Source organism: Homo sapiens, chromosome 5, assembly GCF_000001405.40.
Source record: "Homo sapiens chromosome 5, GRCh38.p14 Primary Assembly".
NCBI lineage: Eukaryota > Metazoa > Chordata > Mammalia > Primates > Hominidae > Homo > Homo sapiens.
Window position 1 is genome coordinate 16,471,118 of NC_000005.10, and position 19,253 is coordinate 16,490,370.

The 19,253-nt window shown below is 36.3% G+C and overlaps 1 protein-coding gene across 5 annotated transcripts in view; it reads right to left on the reverse strand.

Annotated features, from left to right (window-relative positions):
- The window catches only part of RETREG1 (reticulophagy regulator 1), a 143,945-nt gene continuing 126,627 nt past the window's right edge, over positions 1,936-19,253 (reverse strand). For all 5 annotated transcript variants that reach the window (NM_001034850.3, XM_011514053.4, XM_011514055.4 and 2 more), the window contains 6 exons: positions 12,229-12,355; positions 9,892-9,976; positions 7,733-7,870; positions 6,917-6,981; positions 6,545-6,671; positions 1,936-4,117 (listed from right to left, as the gene is read on the reverse strand). In NM_001034850.3, the coding sequence (NP_001030022.1) occupies positions 3,624-4,117; positions 6,545-6,671; positions 6,917-6,981; positions 7,733-7,870; positions 9,892-9,976; positions 12,229-12,355 (1,036 nt within the window). In that variant the 3' untranslated portion in view covers positions 1,936-3,623. The remainder of the gene's footprint in view (positions 4,118-6,544; positions 6,672-6,916; positions 6,982-7,732; positions 7,871-9,891; positions 9,977-12,228; positions 12,356-19,253) is intronic.

Below are 19,253 nucleotides of genomic sequence, written 5' to 3' on the forward strand. Positions count from 1 at the left end.
CCCTAGCCTTAAGACACTTAATCCTTGTAACACTCTGTGAAGTAAATGGTACTACATTTTTATTTTGTAGATGAGGTAAATAGGTATGGAGTTATTAGGTGATTTTCTCAGAGTCCCATAGCTAGTAGGTGTTATAACCATAAAAATTACTATTATAGAACCTTACGCTTGGTCCACAAAATCAACTGAAATAGTAGACATTTTTGCAACACTTCCATCCATTAATTCCACAAGGATTTCTTGCACTGTGAGGCTGATACAGTGCTAGACCCATTAAAAGAACCTTATGGTTCTTGTAAGCTGTTCCTTGTTGATAGCCTTTGTTTTAATGTTTAAAAGAATGGCTCAGTTGAAACACAGGCAGGAAAAAATCAGTATCTTGGTTTTATGCAGCCTTTCCACACACACACCTGCCCCCAACGTGCTTCAGATACTTTTTTTCATTCATTCTCTAAACATCCGTGTGTGATAAGGTAAGAATTAACTTCCCTATTTAATGTTTGGGGAAACAGGATGGAGCTTGGGGACGTTGTATGACTTTGACACTGTGTCTCAGGGCCATAATATTAACATGAGAACCAGAACTCTTATTTTCAACATCTTTCTTAGTACAAATGCTACAGTGGAAATGGAGGAATAATACACAAAAATATAGCTCTGAGGCTAATTTCATCATGACACAAATGATCTAAGACAACAGTAGTTCAGTAAAGGTTTTCAGAAGAATTTCCTATCTTGCAATGAACACAGCTAGAGCAGTGTAAAGAAGTATACCCATCTAGATTATAAACATAATATAAATGTTAAAATCACGTTTTTCTTAAATGTGGATTTGCTTCTTGACTAAAATTAGTGGCATGCTGGCATTTGCCACTTTTTTAAATGGAAGAAAGTTGCATTTATTTCATATATAAGAGTGAGATGCCTAAATATGTTGACTATATTTGCCAATTACAAAACCTTATAAAAGTTTTCCTAATATTTTATTAAACCGGGAAGCAGGCAGTTTAAAAAAAAAAATCCCTTTTGAAGCTATGTAGGGTAAGAAAAAAACAAAGGTATTTCAGAATGAGAATATTCAAGCCTGGATTGATCTTCCAAAGCGAGCTTCAGCTTCTTGAGCACTGCTTTATTGCTTCAGATTAAAATACATGCTCAATGTATGCTATTGCCATTGTGTGATTTTGCTCAGTACTTTCTAAAGGAAGTAAGCAGAACTTCTCTACAGCTTTCAGTTTTAAAAATATATATCCATGGTTCACATTTTAAGTACTTCAGTCCACTTAGATTTTACAAACCACTCATTATCAGTTCTTTCAGATGTTGGGGAAATATTGCTATTTATATTCTCATAGTAAAGGACATGTAGTCCTCTACTACACTGGATCAATCATATGAAATGTATCTGCTCCTTCATCTTTTAAAACCAGAAACAGTGACCCCCCACCACCAAAACACACATATACACAAACAAGAACTTTCAACATCCTTGTGTTTGTTTGAATTAATAGTTGTGAGAAAGTCCCATTATTGTATTGTGTAAATTTGTAGTCATACAGTCATATACAAATAATATTAAAATTCATACATAGTTATAATGCTGCTGTCCCTAGAGAGCTGGCATGTCTCCTCAATAGTGGTAATAGCACATTTTTCTACCCTACCAACTTCCTCCCATCCTCACACCCCTTTTAATTTGTAGTTATTAACATTTTATTCTAGATTTATTGTTCATACCACCACAGATTATCAGCCCTTGAGTTCGTCTTCCTGTAAGGTCATCTAGTGACTTATATTCTTTAATTACTTGGATTATTTAACTTTTTTTCTCCTTAGTGAAGAAATGGAAATGACCTTTAAACTTTTCTACTTTATATCCAAGAATATTGTTTTAAAGAAAGAAACATACACATAAAAAAATACTGATAACGACTATTTTATAAATATGTAACTGTATTTTTCTTCCTGTCCAGAAACTGTTATTGAATAAAATTCAGGTATATTCCTCCAAAACCCACACAGTTCAGAGATTTTCAAACACCAGGTTTCCATTTGTATTAAAATGGGCAAGATAATGAAGGCACAGGCTCACTTTGTATCAATAAAGGACATCAAACACAGTCATGAGGCACTAATGACATAAGCAATCACAAAAAGCAAGTGTTCAAAGTCTTCAGTAACTCTTCTCCCTTTAACATTTGGCAAAACTCAGTCCAGATATTTTAATACCTCAGAAAGAAAAAATAAATAAGAGTAGCTACATTAAAATGTCAGATTACTTATAATTAGTCTTTAGAAATATAAGGGATAAAATGAAAGGAAGAGAACACAGATTTCCTATATTCTTGGATTATCCTTCCTTTCTGAGGGTCTCAGATGTCTCTATGCATCTGCCAAAATGCCAGCTGTACCTGAAGATTTAAGAGATTTTTGGTAGTTGCTGGCATGGTCCCTCGACACTTAAAGTTTATATCACAAAAACAAAACTAGGTTGGTTTCAGCTCTTTAGTCCTTTGTTAAAAACCATAAATCAAATTTGGTTATTTAAAAGTGACCTTAAAAAGTTTAAAGGAAAATATATATATTCTATCTTCCCAATAAGAAACAGATTCCATATTTATACTTAAATGGCAAATAAATATATTTTAAAGCCAAGCAAGTTCCTCTCCTCTATACAGGCTAAGAAAACAGAGTTATTATATCTTTATTGCTGATGATCACATCACTCATCAAGAACTAGTTTCACAATTTTAGGAGACTTTTTTCATGACATAATATAAAAGATAAGGGTCTAACTTAAGTCTGAGCAGGCAGAATAGAGCTGTGCTCCCAACATCCCTATCACAAACATATGACGAATGAACAACAAAACAACTGAATCTGTTTACATCATAACCATTGTCTATGTGATACACAACTGCTTGCTTTCTATGGGTTAATACCACCCACTGCAAGACTAGAGATGGCAGTCAATGGAGCATGCTTCTTTACAAATAAGCCTAAGTCTACAACTGCAGAAATAACATGGAAACGTTTCAGTCTATCCAGAGTACTTAAATATACTTTTAAATTTTTTCCTAAGAAATTAATTTTGATAGTATTTCCCAAGTCCTTCAACTAAGATACCTTGATAATTTCGGTCTTTTTTACATCAAAATCTATCCGTTGAAAAAAAAATTTTCCAGGTATTAGGAATAAGGAAGCTGGTAACAGCATGTATTCACAATTAATTGTTAATATTTTTCAGTAAGTTACAATAAACTGTTTTGCATGCTTGAAAAACTGTAAAGAAAAAGAATATTTATAGGAGGATTTTAATAGTTTGGTTTTTGTTTTTTTCTTTTTGCTTTAAAAACAACCCCTAATATTTATCTCTGACAACACAGTGGTGTGTATAAAGTTCATTTCCATGCTTATTACACAAAAATAACGATCAGAAATATCAATCTATCAGTGTCAGCTGATATATATCCAATTAATTCACTGCAGGAGGGAAAATAAAACAAATCTAAAGTAATCATTAAAGCTTACAGTTCAATTTTTTTCTTTTCCTTTTTTTTTTTTTTTTCTTGTTTGAAATTTTTTTGGTGTTTTTTGTGCTCTGTTGCAAGCTGATTCCTAGATTAATGGCCTCCCAGCAGATTTGAAAGGAAACCTGAAGACTTCTTATTTTGCTGTGCTTCTGCTTCCTGGTCTTGTGTAAGTCCCAATTCACTCTCAATTTGATCCAGCTCTGACTGGTCAAGTAGTTCAAAGTCATCACCTTCTTCAGTGTCTGTGTCCTCTTCTGGGATGGGGGCAGCCTGAGAAAGTGCTTGCTGCACACCCTCTAACTGGTCTTTGATAGCTGCAGTCACTGCAGCTGTGATAACATCCCCAGCCAGGTTGCTCATCAGGTGAAAGGTTTGGTCACTGTTCAGAGGAAGGGTGAGACCAGCTGCTGATTGCGTCTCTTTGCTTGGTCTGTGACCACTGTCCAACTGTTCCTTCTTTCTCTTGAGCTCAGTGGGCAAACCAAGGCTTAATTCATCTTCATCATTTGTTCCCATGCCATTTTCTAGAGATGGAAAATCTGAAAGATCTCTAGAGAAAACTTCCTCACTGGGTCGGTCAAGATCTGTGAAATGGATAACAGAAGTTCAGACTGAAGCACCATAACAAATTTCAAATAAAAGTGCTGTCTAAAGATATCTGACTTTAATCTGAACCCTCTGGCAACCTTGGCATTCATCTAGCCTCCTGGGTCAACTTGAATCAATTTAACCACATACTGAACTCCTCCTAATCCTGCAACACTCTTTCTCCACAGGGACACAAATACTACACATCCCTCTCCATATTTAGCTTTCCTCTTAAGCACAAAACAGTGTATTTACTGACTTAACATTCACCTTTGTCTGATATTAGCTTGAGGTTTTGACTAAAGTTTAAGCATTTACTATAAAAATTCCCCATCCTGCGCCTAGGGTGGGAATTATCTTAAGCCAATGAGTACACATGTACATGAAATTTAAAATACTATAATAAGTTTCCTTGGGTTTTGGTTAATATTATCCAGCCTCAGCATTTTCATACATAGAGATCTATTTCAGTGCCTGTAATCTGTGTTTGTTTTAAGCAATGAAAGGAAGATACTGCTCCTTCTATTCCATATAACCCAAGAGTTTATGGAAACATTTGGCTCTCTATAACTATAGCTGAAACTGACCATACCAAGATTTAGGACATTTGAAAGCAATGTCACATTAGAAGGCTAATAGATTTTATTGTTTTTACCTTTCATATAAAATCTTTTAATATAACAGTTAACTCCCTGCAACAGTGATTTGAAATCTTCAATTAATGAAAAGCCTTGTATGTGGCTTGGATTATTATTGTCTCTTTTGTTGAATCTGAGATGGGATGCTTAAGAACAAGGTACTTGTTATTCTTGTTCTTTAAAATATGACCTCAAATTGTAGGTACTGAAAGCTTGTAGAGCTTGAATGACCTTCAGCAATGCTCCTGTTCTAATTTAAAGGTGAGGAAATTGAGATCCACAAAAATTATGTCACCCGTTCAAGGTCATAAAGTTAGGTAGTGACAAAGGCAAGACTCCACTTGGGTCTTCCACCTTCCAAACCCATCTTCTTTCAAACACTGCACAGCCTCCCTCCCTCCTTCCTTTAAAAACAGAAAATGTCCTTTTGGAACATAAGTGTAAAATAGTTCATTCACCCTCCTCCTTTATAATCTGCTCATATGTTCAGTATATGGCCAAAACAAGGTAATCCAGTGAGACTAACAAAAGTTAAGTTACTGTACAAGCATTGACTCTCAATTTAAGTTTTGGACATAATTTGCATTATAAAGAATACTGTGCTTTCCTGTTTTTAATTGTACTTATTATAAACAAAGAATATACTGGATAAAGAAAATGTGGTACACATACACCATGGAATACTATGCAGCCATAAAAAGGAACGAGATCATGTCCTTTGCAAGGACATGGATGGAGCTGGAAGCCATTATCCTCGGCAAACTAACACAGGAACAGAAAACCAAACACACTGCCTGTTCTCACCTGTAAGTGGAAGCTGAATAATGAGAACACATAGACACAATGGTGGGGAACAGCACACACTGGGGCCTGTCAATAGGGTTGGGGGTGGGAGGAGGGAGAGCATCAAGAAAAATAGCTAATCGATGCTGGGCTTAATACCTAGGTGATGGGATGCAAACCACCATGGCACATGTTGACCTATGTAACAGACTTGCACATCCTGCACATGTACCCCTGAACTTAAAAGTCAGAAACAAAAAAAATAAAAATAAAAAGCTTTTTTAACTTTGAAGACAAATGTGAGAAACTCCGGAGTCAGCTTTGGACTCAGGGAACTTGACGTCCATACTTCAGCCCCTTTTAATGAGGACTAGGCCTAAATGTGTAGGATTAGCGTCTATCTTTCTCTCCCACATTATCGCTTGGGACATTTCAAAGACATTTCAGGAGGTAATTTTTCTAATTTTTGATTATTTTGTTTTCAAAATAAAGGCAAATTTGGACATTGACTGATTTATTTTCCTCATACTTTTTAAAAAACAGCTTTTGATAATTCATGCACCAAAAAAACACCCTTCTAAGGTATACAATTCAGTGTTTTTTAGTATATTCATAAAGCTGTACAAGCAGCATCACTATCTAATTCTAGGACACTTTCATCACTCCAAAAAGAAATGCATACCAATTAACAGTCACTCACTATTCCCTCCATCAGTCCATAGCAGCCACTAACTTAATTTCCCTTTATATGGACCTGCTTATTCTAGGCATTTCATATAAATGGAATTACACAGTATGTGGCATTTTGTGTCTGGCTTCTTAGCATGTTTTCAAGGTTCATCCATGTTGTAGCAAGTATCAGGACTTCATTTTTATAGCCAAGTAATATTCTACTGTGTAGATATGGTGGTAACATGTTATTTACCCATTCAGTATTTGACAGAAGTTCAATAGTTTTGTATGCACTCATAAAAATAAATGTCTCCAGAAATATTAGCATACCATCAGAAGTGTCTGTCTGTGGAGTGTATCCTTCTGAAAGGTTGAAGGTCCCATTATCAGTCCAGGATACCTCTGAGACGTCTGTGTCAGACACAGATAACTCTTTGGCAGCAACCGTGAGGCTAATCTGTGTTAATATAAATAAATACCAGCGGCACATTTTAAACTGCTGAAGGGAATATTTTGAAAAATCCATATGAACCCCCAAAATGACAGAGTAATAAAAACCAAATGGATATTTTTATTTTGAAATCATTCAGTCATCTTACAGAAATATGAGGAGTTTATTAGGAAGATCATTCAGCTTTGTATGCATACATGCATTTACAGTCAAACCACACAGGAACAAATTGAAAACTAAACAAAAAATACCTTAGGACAAAGAGCTGAAAAGTCTAATTCACTGTCATCTTTGTGACTTTTTTCTTTGTCTGCTTCTGTTGAGGAAAAAATTTGGAAGCTTTCAGTTTCCTAGCCAACTCAGACATAGTGCATTTATTTCATTATGTATTCTTACCCCACATTTCTCATATTCTCCAAATACAAATATATATTTCTCATATTCTTAACTACAAATATAATTAAATGTTTGCACATAACAAGCTTCACATATTTGCAAAGGAAATGATCCACATTAGTGGCTCTCTTAATATTGTCCCTGAAACAGCAAAAGCATCCTCCCTGGGAACTTTTTAGAAATGCAGATTCTCAGGCCCTACCCTAGACCTACTGAATCAGAAACTCTGGGCTGGGGCCTAGCAATCTGTCCTTTAATAAGCCCTCCACGTGACTCCGATACATTCTAGTTTGAGAACCTATAAGGTCATAAGCCAAGTTAAAAAGTAAGAGATGATTATATTGGCTTTTCCTGTATTTTCTTTTTCTTTGTGATAGTCCAACCCAAAATAAAACTAAGTAAATCATAAGTAGCACAATAAAGAGTGTTGAAGCCTTTTCTTTCTCCCCTGACACTGTGGATTAAAAAGTCAATTTATTTAATTGTATATTTGAGAAAAGAAGGAAAGCCCAAATAGGAAAAGGATATATATAACTTTGAGGGAGATTAGCTTCTATAATAATATTTAGTAAAAAGCTAAAAGTATCCTCAAATGTATTAAAGAATTTCCTAAAAATAGCTCGCTAATGTCTCATTTCATGCATAGAATCTAAAATATAAACTTTACCTACCAGATCTCTCACGTTTCTTCTGATTAATATATTCTCCAATTCCAAAATCCAGTTTCAGCAGAACTGACTTAATTTTGCTGTAAATTTTTTGTCCAATATCATTACATTTAAACAATGGACACAAAAATGCACACAGTACTGAAAGAAGAAAGAGAGCAGAGGTAAAATGCCTTTCCTTTCAAAAGGCTACGTACATTTCAGTATTTCACAAAATACTACATTTCTTTACTGAAAAACTTAAGTTTTTTTAAGGGAAATGCCATTGTGAAATAAGTTTATAATTTCTATTCTTTTTCTGTAAGGTAAACATTTTCTGCCACCACCCACAAACACACACATGCATCCCACACTTACACAAGTTTATAATTTCTATTCTTTTTCTGTAAGGTAAACATTTTCTACCACCACCCACAAACACACACATGCATACCCACACTTACACAATGCTCACAGTCATTGTTTCCAGGTGCAGTTAGATCAACTCCCTCCTTTCAATCCTTTTATTCTCAAAATTTATAGAAAAATTACATGCCTTCCAGACAACAGTCCTGGTTTAACTGTGTTTATTCAATGCCATTTCACCATGGGAAAGTTATTAGCCTCTCATCAATAATATTAGGATAGTAACATTATTTCTTGGGGTTGTTGTGAAGCATAAATGAAATCAATGCAAACCATCTGAATAATGCCTTGCCCAAATTATTCTTTCATTCCCCAGTCCTCTTCTCCTTTACCTCCTAAACAATGTCATCATGAGGCTGATGTTATATATGACTTCTTTTGGGGAGAATGGATTTGAGCTCTGACCATTTGCCATTTGCATTATGCATTAAGAATACAAAAAGAAGCAAAGATTGCCACACTCTAAGTATTGTATTCCCAATATTTATTTCTTTGTTCGTTTTAGGAAGTGTCCCGTATTATATTTTAAAATAAGAGCTACAAACTCAAATGTCTCTAGAGGCCAAGAAATTGTATGTAAATTTTAAAGTCCATTGTAAGAAAAATTGGAAAATATGGGGGTATGTTAAGTGGAGAGTGCCTGCCCCATCGAAAGGTAGCAGTGCCAGATCATAGTTTTCAGGTGAAGAAAATCCATACTTTTTAATAACATTTTTGGGTGGTCATTGATGTATAATAAAATACATGTATTTAAAGTGTACAATTTGATAAATTTTGACATATGCATACAACTAAGAAGCCATCACCATAATCAAGATAGTGAACATGTCTACCAGTAGACATGAAGTTTTCTCATGGTTTTATTCAACCTTCCTTCCAGTCTCCTGCCTCTTCTCCCTGCCCCCACCCACCTCATCCCCAGGCAACCACTGACCTGCTTTGTCACTAAAGATTGTTTGAATTTTCTGGAATAATATATAAATGGAATCACACTTTTTCATCTGGTTTTGTCTACTCAGTCTAATTATTTTGAGATTTATCTTTAGTGTTGTATGTATCCATTTTTAGTGCTAAGTAGTAATCCATTATATGGATATACCACAGTTTGCTTACCCATTCCTCCAATTGATGGATGTATGGATTATATTCTGCTTTTGGCTACTACATATAAATCTGTTATGAACATTTATGTCTTTGTACTTTCATTTCTTTTGGGTAAGTACCTAGTTGTGGGATAGCTTTGTCATGTAGTAGTTTTTAAGAAACTGCCAAACTGTTATCCAAAGTGATTTTAACATTCTACCTACCCCGCAACAGTATGTGAGAATTCCACTTGCTCTGCATCCCTCCTAATACTTGATGTGGTCAGTATTTTTAATTTTAGCCATTCTGGTAGGGATGCAATGGTATTTCATTGTGGTTTTAATTATTTTTTTGAGCCAAAGAACACGCACGAAGGCAAAGGTGTTGGTGTGTTTTTGGGAGGTGGGGCATACAGCTTTATGTATACTTTTACTGACAAAATTTAACATAAAATTATTCACTTATAATTCTGCCTTTTGCAGCTATTCTTCCAATTTTAAAATAGAGACATGTCTCTAGGAAAATGGAGAAACTTTGTACAGCAGGAGATTAAAGAATAATCAACTTGTATTATAGTTAAGAACTCATCCCCCCTCTTCAAACTACAGGTCTGTTGACCGTAAGGTGATACCATATGCATCACAACACTTAGCCATATGTTCTACTATACTTACACAGTAGATAGCTGAGTATAACCCCAGGAATGTAACTTCCCAAGATCGTAAAAAATGTGCACACACTACAGACCAGGAGACAAAACTGGAAATAATAGAAATAACATGGGATAGTTAAGCATAACACCAAGATATTTCGGAGCACAGGATACACACACAATTGTAAATCTATAGTGACCGGTATAAGTGACCTATCTGGTTATTACAGATTTTTTCCAAAGAGCATTATTTTGCACTAAGGGCTGACTAATGACTGCTGCATTCAACCAGTCTTAGTCCATTTCAACACTTGGTAATAATTATTTTGAGGACACAGGAGCTAATTTCTGGCACAGAGAGTGACAACTCCCATTACTCATGCCTGTGGCTATATTACTGCCAGGTGCAAGAGAACAGAAAACTATTATGTTCCCAGAAACTTCTTTTACTTCGCTCATTTAAGGAAATTAATGCGGCCTGATAACTACATCTGAAAGTTCAAACTACCACTATAAGCCCACTGAAATTCATAAAAACACAGCAAAACAAGTTACAGAAATTAGAGGTATCTACACAAATCTAACGTAATTTACACAAATCTAATGTAATTTATAGCTGCTAAGCTGACAGGATAAATTTATGGCCATCACTATCCTCTTTCCTAACCATATATACTGCTCAAACTGACCCCACTTCTAAGTCACCTAGAAAAAAACTGCCATTGAAATGAAACTCCTACAGTGACATGTTTATTTTCCTTCTGTCATTTATGGTTAAAAAATCTTGATTGTTTTAAGAAATTTAAAAACATCAGAAAATATCCTTAATTCCCTTTAGAAACATCAAGGCAGAAAAATGTTACCATAAAGTCTTCACCTGATTTTTCACCCTCCAGTCTTAAACTGTCTTACATTTTTCGTCATCTTTAAACAGTGATAGTAAATTAAACTGATAAGCAAGCAAAGGAAATTCATTAAGGGAGTTTCTAAAAGATACAGGAGGAAGGAATACATACCTCTGACCAATAACTGATGATGATAAAGAGCAAAGGGGTCTAAATCTAAGTTTAATTTTGATTTTTCATTCTTCGGTACAGAGTTAATAAATTAACTAGTCAAAAGTAGATTAGATGACTTGTGGAACAAAATTAAGAGCTGTTTCTAAAACAGCAAGGGCCCTTGAAAGAATCTGGAATTCTATAAATGAAATGGAAAGGCCATAAAAGTCAAAGGAACAAATAAGCCAAGAAAAGCATTACTATATCCAGAATTTAGTTTTACAAAGGGATTTCATAATATGCCCTACATTTGTAGCATCATCATTTTAAGCTAATTGACTTGGGGCACATTAATGCAACCCAATGCAGAAGTTTGAAGTTTAGAATCTTCCAAAAATACATTTAATCACTTCAGTAAAATCAACATCAACAGCACATCATGCCCCAAATATAGGTATCTATGCTAAAAAAAAAAAAATGCCTTCAATGAATAAAAAAAATGCATCCAAATGCAATACTGCCACTTTAATACACTCAAAATGTCTCCAAGCATAGTTCTATTATTTAATACTATTGAAGTTACGATATTGCCTATACAAGGTACAAAGACAGAGATTTTCAATGCTGACATTCCTAGCTCTTCATTCTATCCACGGGTGGATATTCAAGGAGCTTGAAAGCAACACTGGAATAGACAAGGTCTATTGATGGTTCTGCACCTCACCCAAGCTATCAAGACAGTTGATCAGAATTAAAGCTGCCTTTATGCATAAAATAATACAAGTATGTGCAGCACTCCATGTAATCCCTTCCCAACCATGTAAGACACTTCCCCCTCATGGGTTTTATCTTAATTGGAAAAATACTCATTTTGTTTATATAATCACTATGAATGTTTTTGCCAAAAGTTTTCTTTCTTAAATAAGTAAATCATACAAGAATCTCCACTTTTTAGCTTGAAAATAAGATTCAGTTATCTCCAAAAGCACAGTCAAAGAACTATGTATTCATTTCATCTCCCTTTGACTTCAGCACCAGGCTAAATACGATAACTGAAATTCTTAAGACTGTTTTCTCCCTAGTCTTGCTGATAAGACCAATCACCATTCATTTTAGCTAATGAGCTAGATAAATATATATAAAATGTAAAACCAATCCAATTTCACAATGTGAGGCTGAGGATTATCTAGTGTTCGCACACTCACACATCTGAACCTTGCTGATACCAGCTTTTATGGCATATGTTCTTAGTATATTATATTTAAAATTGGAGAAATCTGACAAGCTGATAAAATAGGTTAGTTCATTTGTTTCCAAGTAACTGAACATTTTAAAACATACTCCTTTACTGGAAAACTTGCCTTGCCAGGGCTCTGCTGTTTAAAAAGAGACATTTCTTGAAGAAATATGCTGAAATTCATCCATGATTCTGCAATACAGTGGCTGAGCCTGGGTCTTTCATCTGGTTTGGAATTGATAACTTCCCAGCTAAAGAGACAAAAAGAAAAAAAATACTACTGAACTTTGGATGATTCATTCAACATTTATGGCTTTGGCAAATATTTATTGAGCATCTACTGTTGGCCACACCCTCTGGAAAAGCCCTGTGAATTCAGAAGGGAACTATCCAGACACCTGCTTCAGGAAACTCACATGTCAAAAGAAACAATTAGCTGTCTAATTAATTGTCTGTTTACAATCAGGGAAACACTCAGGGAGAACAGGGTGAGGCTTAGGGACATCTTTAATGAAGAGTCATTTTAAAACTCAGATATGGGATGGATCAGCAGGTTAATCATAGGGTTCCAGGTAGAACAACATGCAATATATGCAGAAGCCCTGGAGTGGGAAGGAGCTTAAATGTGCTATCCTATTGAGTCTCAATGTGACTCCAGCAAAGTCAACCAGAAGAAAAACATGTGAAGCTGGAGGGGTAGGAGGAGACTAGGTCATGGAAGACTTGTTAGAAACGTCTTAAACCTTAAGGATTGGGAAACCACAGTACTTTTAGAGAAACCTTGGAATTAAGCATACAATATTAAGAATAAATACCAACAATGTATTTTCAATATATACCATGGTTGGAAAACTCTATAGAAAATTGTTAAAAAGATCTTACAATATCCTCTATTTTTCCAGAGTACATTTTCCTAATCATCATCTAGAATGTGTTGAGTGTGATGCATGGGCCGGCAACCAGCTTTCTCCCTGCCCTCATTTTCCACAGGAACCTCAGTGAGCTAAAAACTAGAAACAATCACTCCAGGAAGAAGACACATGTAAATACATGTCATTCCCTAACATTACAATGACATAAAGCTTAATTCCTGCTCTTGCAATCCTAACTCATAAAAACATACCAGTTCAAACAAGCCCTGTTAAGAATCCTCAAATTCATTCATTTAAGAGATTATTGAGAGATATGTGTCTACCATGTTGAAGGCACTGCCACAGAGCTATGGATATGGCAATAACAAAAGCAGCAAAGTTTCTAGAAGAAGACTAGAATTGTTAGTGAACTATCATCTGAGCTGTGGTAGGGTACCAGGGTGAGGCTGATCTCTGGATTCAATTCCAGTAGCCCTAAGACAAATCAAAACTACCTTTGCCCTTAGATGCTCAACTATACAGAAGTTTATGTACATACAGATTCTGTGACTTTTAATATATTTTGAATAGTAAGGCAATTTGTAAATTACAATTCCTTTTTATAAAAATAATTTTAATCCAAGTTTAAATGAGTGCAATAGCATATTTTAAAAGGGGGGAAGTATACCATTTTCCTTCCTCTTTGTTCTTTCAGCCTCAACTAATGCTCTGGAGAGTCACTGAGCTACCAGTTGTCCAGGCTGATGTTATTCCTGCAGGTAGATTTCCTGTCTGTCAGAAGAAATGAACTTTTGGGGATGGTTTATGCATCCATTAACTCTACCCACTCTTGAATCACTGAGCAAATCTGTTTTCAGCAGGACCATATCTGGCACCAGGTTTGCATACCCCATGATTCCACATCTATTAAAATACTAAGTGCATAGCTAAGAAGCAGATATCTGTGGCAAAATCTTGCCACAGATATCTGCTTAGTGGGAAAAGATTTTGCACCAGAGAGCAAAAGCTATATGGCAAAGGAAATATAAGGTTATTAAAATGCAGTCTGTTTTCTCAGAATAATATAGATTTGCTGCAAATTGGCACAGACAGGCTAAGCTACTGTTCAGTTTAATGGGACCATGAAGATGACAGAAAACATTTTAATTTCTGCTCTCTATGCATATTGAATAATTATTTAAGGATGCATTTGAACTGTTTGCCCAATATAATTCTAACAAAAATCAATGAAAAGCTATAATGGAAGGATTTGTTATTTTCTTTTAAACATTAAGATGGAATAAATGAACAGTTCATAACTCCTGGCCTCAAACAATCCTCCCACCTTGGCCTTCCAAAGTGCTGGGATTACAGGCATGAACCACTGCGCGAGGACAAAAAAATATTTTTTTGAATGAATAGTACTTTGTACAGATGCTGGAACTTTGTTCTAATATCATCTTTAGGATTCATGTCTTGGAAATGACACCATATCCATATTTGTTTACATATTTTTTATTACTGCTTAAGTAAATGTCCCCAAATTGTAAAAGAGCCTAGTATAATACTAAATTGTCACTATAGAGATAATGTTAGAACAAAGACTTCATATAACTTAAAGTGTTTTATAGAGATTACTATGAAATAACTAAAAACTCTCTTTAGCATTTAAGGAAGGGTCTTATCTATTTTCCACAGGGGACTTCAAGTGGACACCATCTATCCACTAATTTATTCATTTATTCAATAAAAAGTTATTAAGTTCCCCCTTTGTGTCTTGCATCACACTAAATGTGGAAAATACTGTTATCAAAAACTTGAATGCTGGTAGCACTATTCCTCTGTGTCTATAGATAAACACTATTTGCTGGAAAGAAAGAAAAAAATATGCAATCTTTGACTATCTTCCATAGTCATAAGAAAACACTCTTAATTATATTACATTTTTCCCTTTTAAAAAGCTTCATATAATAGTTTTTTGGGACAATAAATTTCATCATTACTTACATTTTTATTAACACAATAAATTATAATTGATATTTGAATTGTTATAATCACAAACAGAAATGAGAAATTCATTGTGTACAACCTGAAAATAATATCTAACCAAATGGGTTTGTAAAGAGTAATAAGTGTTTGAGATTAAAAATAAATGTTCAGATTGGGCTGAATAAAATTTAATCGAAATATATATGATTTAAAAAGAAAATGTAAGTTCCAGGGTGAAAAAAAGATGTCACTCCACATCTTTTCTTCTGGACCAAAAACAGGTGCTCCCTGGGAGTTTAACAATAGTTTTAAATTGCCCAGTGATTAATTCTGAGTACCATAGGAACTCACATTTCTATAGTCTTCCAGTGAGTTTACCATTAATTTATGTCACCACAGTTCAATTTAGGTTATACAGAATTAGATAATTTGTCATGAGACGGGACATTTGATGTCAACTTTTCAAATTCCCTTATTTTATAGGTGAGGAACGTGAAATCCAACTTTTTGCAGCTAGTATGAGGCAGAGCCAAGACCCAAGGCCAGGACTCTGGGTTTCCAATACAGTTCTGATCCTTTAAAATGTGTGCCCTCTTCAAAGGGTGAATACATTCAATGATATTCTTTGAAGAGACCACATGGCAATTCAGAATGAGAAGGAGCATTTCATGTTCCTCACTCCTTCCTAGAACCAGAAGAGATGAGGTGTGATTGACCAATACCAACGTGCCATCATGCAGGACCAACCCTTTCCAGGAAAACAGAGCACTTCATGTGCAGAATCCAAATACTCAGCAGAAACCAAGATCTACGCTTAGTGGTTGGTTGATGTTTAACACAGGTGTCATCTGCACACACACACATACACACGCTGAGTTGCTACGTAATGAAACTCTAGGTTTTCCCAGAGAGCCTTATTTGGAAAACACATAACTAGAAAAAAGATCTCCTGTGAATGCTGGGCAAGGCTTGGGGAACAGATCTTTTCCATGGTGTGTAGCTGTCTTCCCACCATCCTTGGCACTGATCACCATGCAACATAAGGCCCAACTAACATAAAAGGAAATGAAAATACCTAAGGCTTCAAAACATTTTGAGTTTGTACTAAGTTCCTAAACAAACAATACAAGTCTTCTGTGACTGACGCTCAACTAAGGGAGAAAATTCATTACCAGTAGCTTTATTAATATTTCCTCCTTAGTTTCAGAGAGACCATGCACTTTCCAAGTTCAAAAGGAAATAGGTTCTTTGGTTCATCTTTCTATCCATCTCCCCTCCCTCTCGCCAGCCTTCCAGCTTTCTCTCACACTCTTGCCTTCACTAAGGAGTGAACTCACCACACACTCCAGCCACAAGATAAAGACCATTTAAGAGTCACCCCCGATGACCATCATCCCCAACTTTCCATCCTCGTAGCCAGTCCAGTTCAAGTAGTTCCCAGGGAGAAGTCACTACAAGCCCCAGCCTCTACATGGCCATGCCATCTATCAAATGGGCTTTGCTCAAGGATCTGTAACTGTAAATGACTCCCAAAAAAGCCCCAGCAGATGCCATCTGGTTAAGTTTTCCTTCTTACGGAAAAACTAGTCAGGTGTTTTGATGAAGGCCATTCTCCAATCAAGCAATTCTTTATCAAAGAAGCCTAAGCCAGGGCAAAGTCCTTTTTCAGCAGCTGAAGAATTTCTGGTTTTACCTGCCAGTGAAACTCTAAGGGAATAAAACATGGAAAGATGGCTCCTTAGATAAGCAAACTCACTTTGTCCACAGAAAGGAGCTTTGGCTTCTCAGTAGAATTTCAAACCAACATCCCTTCTTTCTTCCTCCCTGTCCCTATTAGAATACAATTTACCATATACATTGGGAGGTCTGGCCAAATAAGCCCTTCATGCAGTTCCTGCAGCTGTAGTTGTGAGACACCCAGGGCACTGTTTAAGCAGCAGCTGTGTGGGCCTTACTGAAGAGATGGAGATGGAGCAGGCCTGGGTGAGGCTCAGAAATCTGCATTTTAACAGGTGTCCTAGATGATGCTGAGGCAGGTGTGTCTTACCTTAAGAGTCACTGTGAGAAATACCCTTGATAAAGTAACACTGAATTCCTGTCCTACAAATAAAGAGGAGGGAGACTTCTGCTTCTGGGCAAGACGGTGTGAGAGGGAGCTGATATACCCAACCCACCTGAAACAAAGAAAATCTATGCAACAACGATTTTCAAAACTCTGGGCATTAGGCAAGGAAGGACAGTGACTCCTAAGGGATGAGAAACCAATAAGGGAGTTATGTGATCACCCAGCTCGCTGCCTTGAGTGTTTCCTGGCCTGGGAGCAGGGGCAGCAACCCAGGTACCACCTGGCAACTCCCTGAGTTGAGGAGACATTGCTGAGGGTCCAAAAAGGAGATCCAAGGGGCCAGAGTTTGCAGGACCCAGTGCCAGAGAGTAGAGCACAGTACAGAGGGAGATAAAGGGAGAGGTCTGATGTGGGGGATTCCTGGAGTCTTCAGCTGAGGCTTTGCTGGCACAGGCGTGTGAGGAGCCCGGAGGCCAGGAAAGAGCCATCAGAAAGGACTAGAAGGAACAGTGTCTTTGGCCAAGAATGACACCTAGTCCCACCAACTAGACCGAAAAACTTCAAAATTCACAGACATGGGTAGAATACTCAGAAGGGTCTTGCCTCAGTAGCAGAGAATAATCAGTCCTAAACTAAATGCGGCTCTGGTCCTAACAAGTCTTAAAAGCAGACCTTAGGCCGGGCGTGGTGGCTCACGCCTATAATCCCAGCACTTTGGGAGGCCGAGGTGGGCAGATCATGAGATCAGGAGATCGAGACCATCTTGCCCAACACGGTGAAACCCCATCGCTACTAAAAGTACAAAAATTAGCCAGGCCTGGTGGCATGCGCCTGTAGTCCCAGCTACTCAGGAGGCTGAGGCAGGAGAATCACTTGAACCCAGGAGGCAGGGGCTGCAATGAGCCGAGATAGCGCCACTGCACTCCAGCCTGGGCAACAGAGCGAGATTCTGTCTCAAAAAAAAAAAAAAAAAAAAAAAAAAAAAAAAAGCAGACCTTAAAAGGATCAAACTGATTTTAAGTGATTCAACCGCCAACTGTAGGATACAAAGTGGTGAGTTTTGTTATGAACAAAATAACTCAGTCAAACTGGGATGTGAAGCAGTTCACTTATTTTACTTTTATGTGTATCTTTTAAATTATCATGTACCTTTGTTCCCTTAAAAAATATAGTTATCAAAACAATGTTTAAATATTATAAGATTTGTCTTTGTGTAGTTTAATGCCTGCATAATGGAATTTCTAATGCACTTGGCTGGCAGTTTCAGAATGCAGCACACAGTATTCTCCATTAGGGGGTTCTGTAAGACTAAGAAATAGGACACTCTTGTGCTCTTTAAAAATAGATTGTAATTCTGTAAGACAGAACATGTGCTAGCAGCCTGTTTCATCCCTTTCACCAATAGTATCTTTGAGCACTAGAAAAAATAATGCTGCAACAAAATGAATCTTGGCATAGAAGAAATACTATCTCATTATCATTTAACTTCTGTTCGTTTTAATAAATATGCAGTGAATGTACATTAACTGTCACCATTCCTGGCTCTGGGACTGAGGGTTGACTAAGGCACAGCCTGTAACCAATAAGTTAAAGTGTACATGTGACCCAAGAATGATGCAAAGCCTACACACACTGGTGATACATGAAACTCACCTTTAAAAAATGGCATTTAATTGTATCTAGGGCTATTGGAGATACATGAATTTGAAAACTATGTTGGGGATTGGATATATGAGGAGAGCTTGTTAAATGTAAGATCTTTTCACTATTGTACATTTTACAGGACAATGTTTTAGCATATACTAATGAACTTAAAAGTGTTTTTACAACTCAGTTATTTTTGAAAGCAAAAAATTATATTTTTAATATATCAAAGCTAAAATATTTTCACATATTTCTTGAGCTTTAGATTTGAGGAGATAATTACCAACCAGAGATAGGAAACCTGGAGTAGATGGAAAAAGAGAGGGAGGGAGAAAGTATATGGGAGGCAGGGAGAGAATATGAATGAATCCTGATAGTCAGGTTTGAGTTCTTGGGTCCTGTTGGGCCCAAAAGGCAAGGTGCAAAGCAAATCCACCCATGGACATCCCCCATAATTGGAGCCAGTTCCCTTGTGCCTTAAGCTGGTTTCTGGCATTTGTAAAACAAAATAAAGTGTCCCATGTTTCAGTGGGAGCAATGGAAAATTGTTTAAAATATCTTAAATTATGAATAAACGTAACTATTAAAAAAGAGTTATAA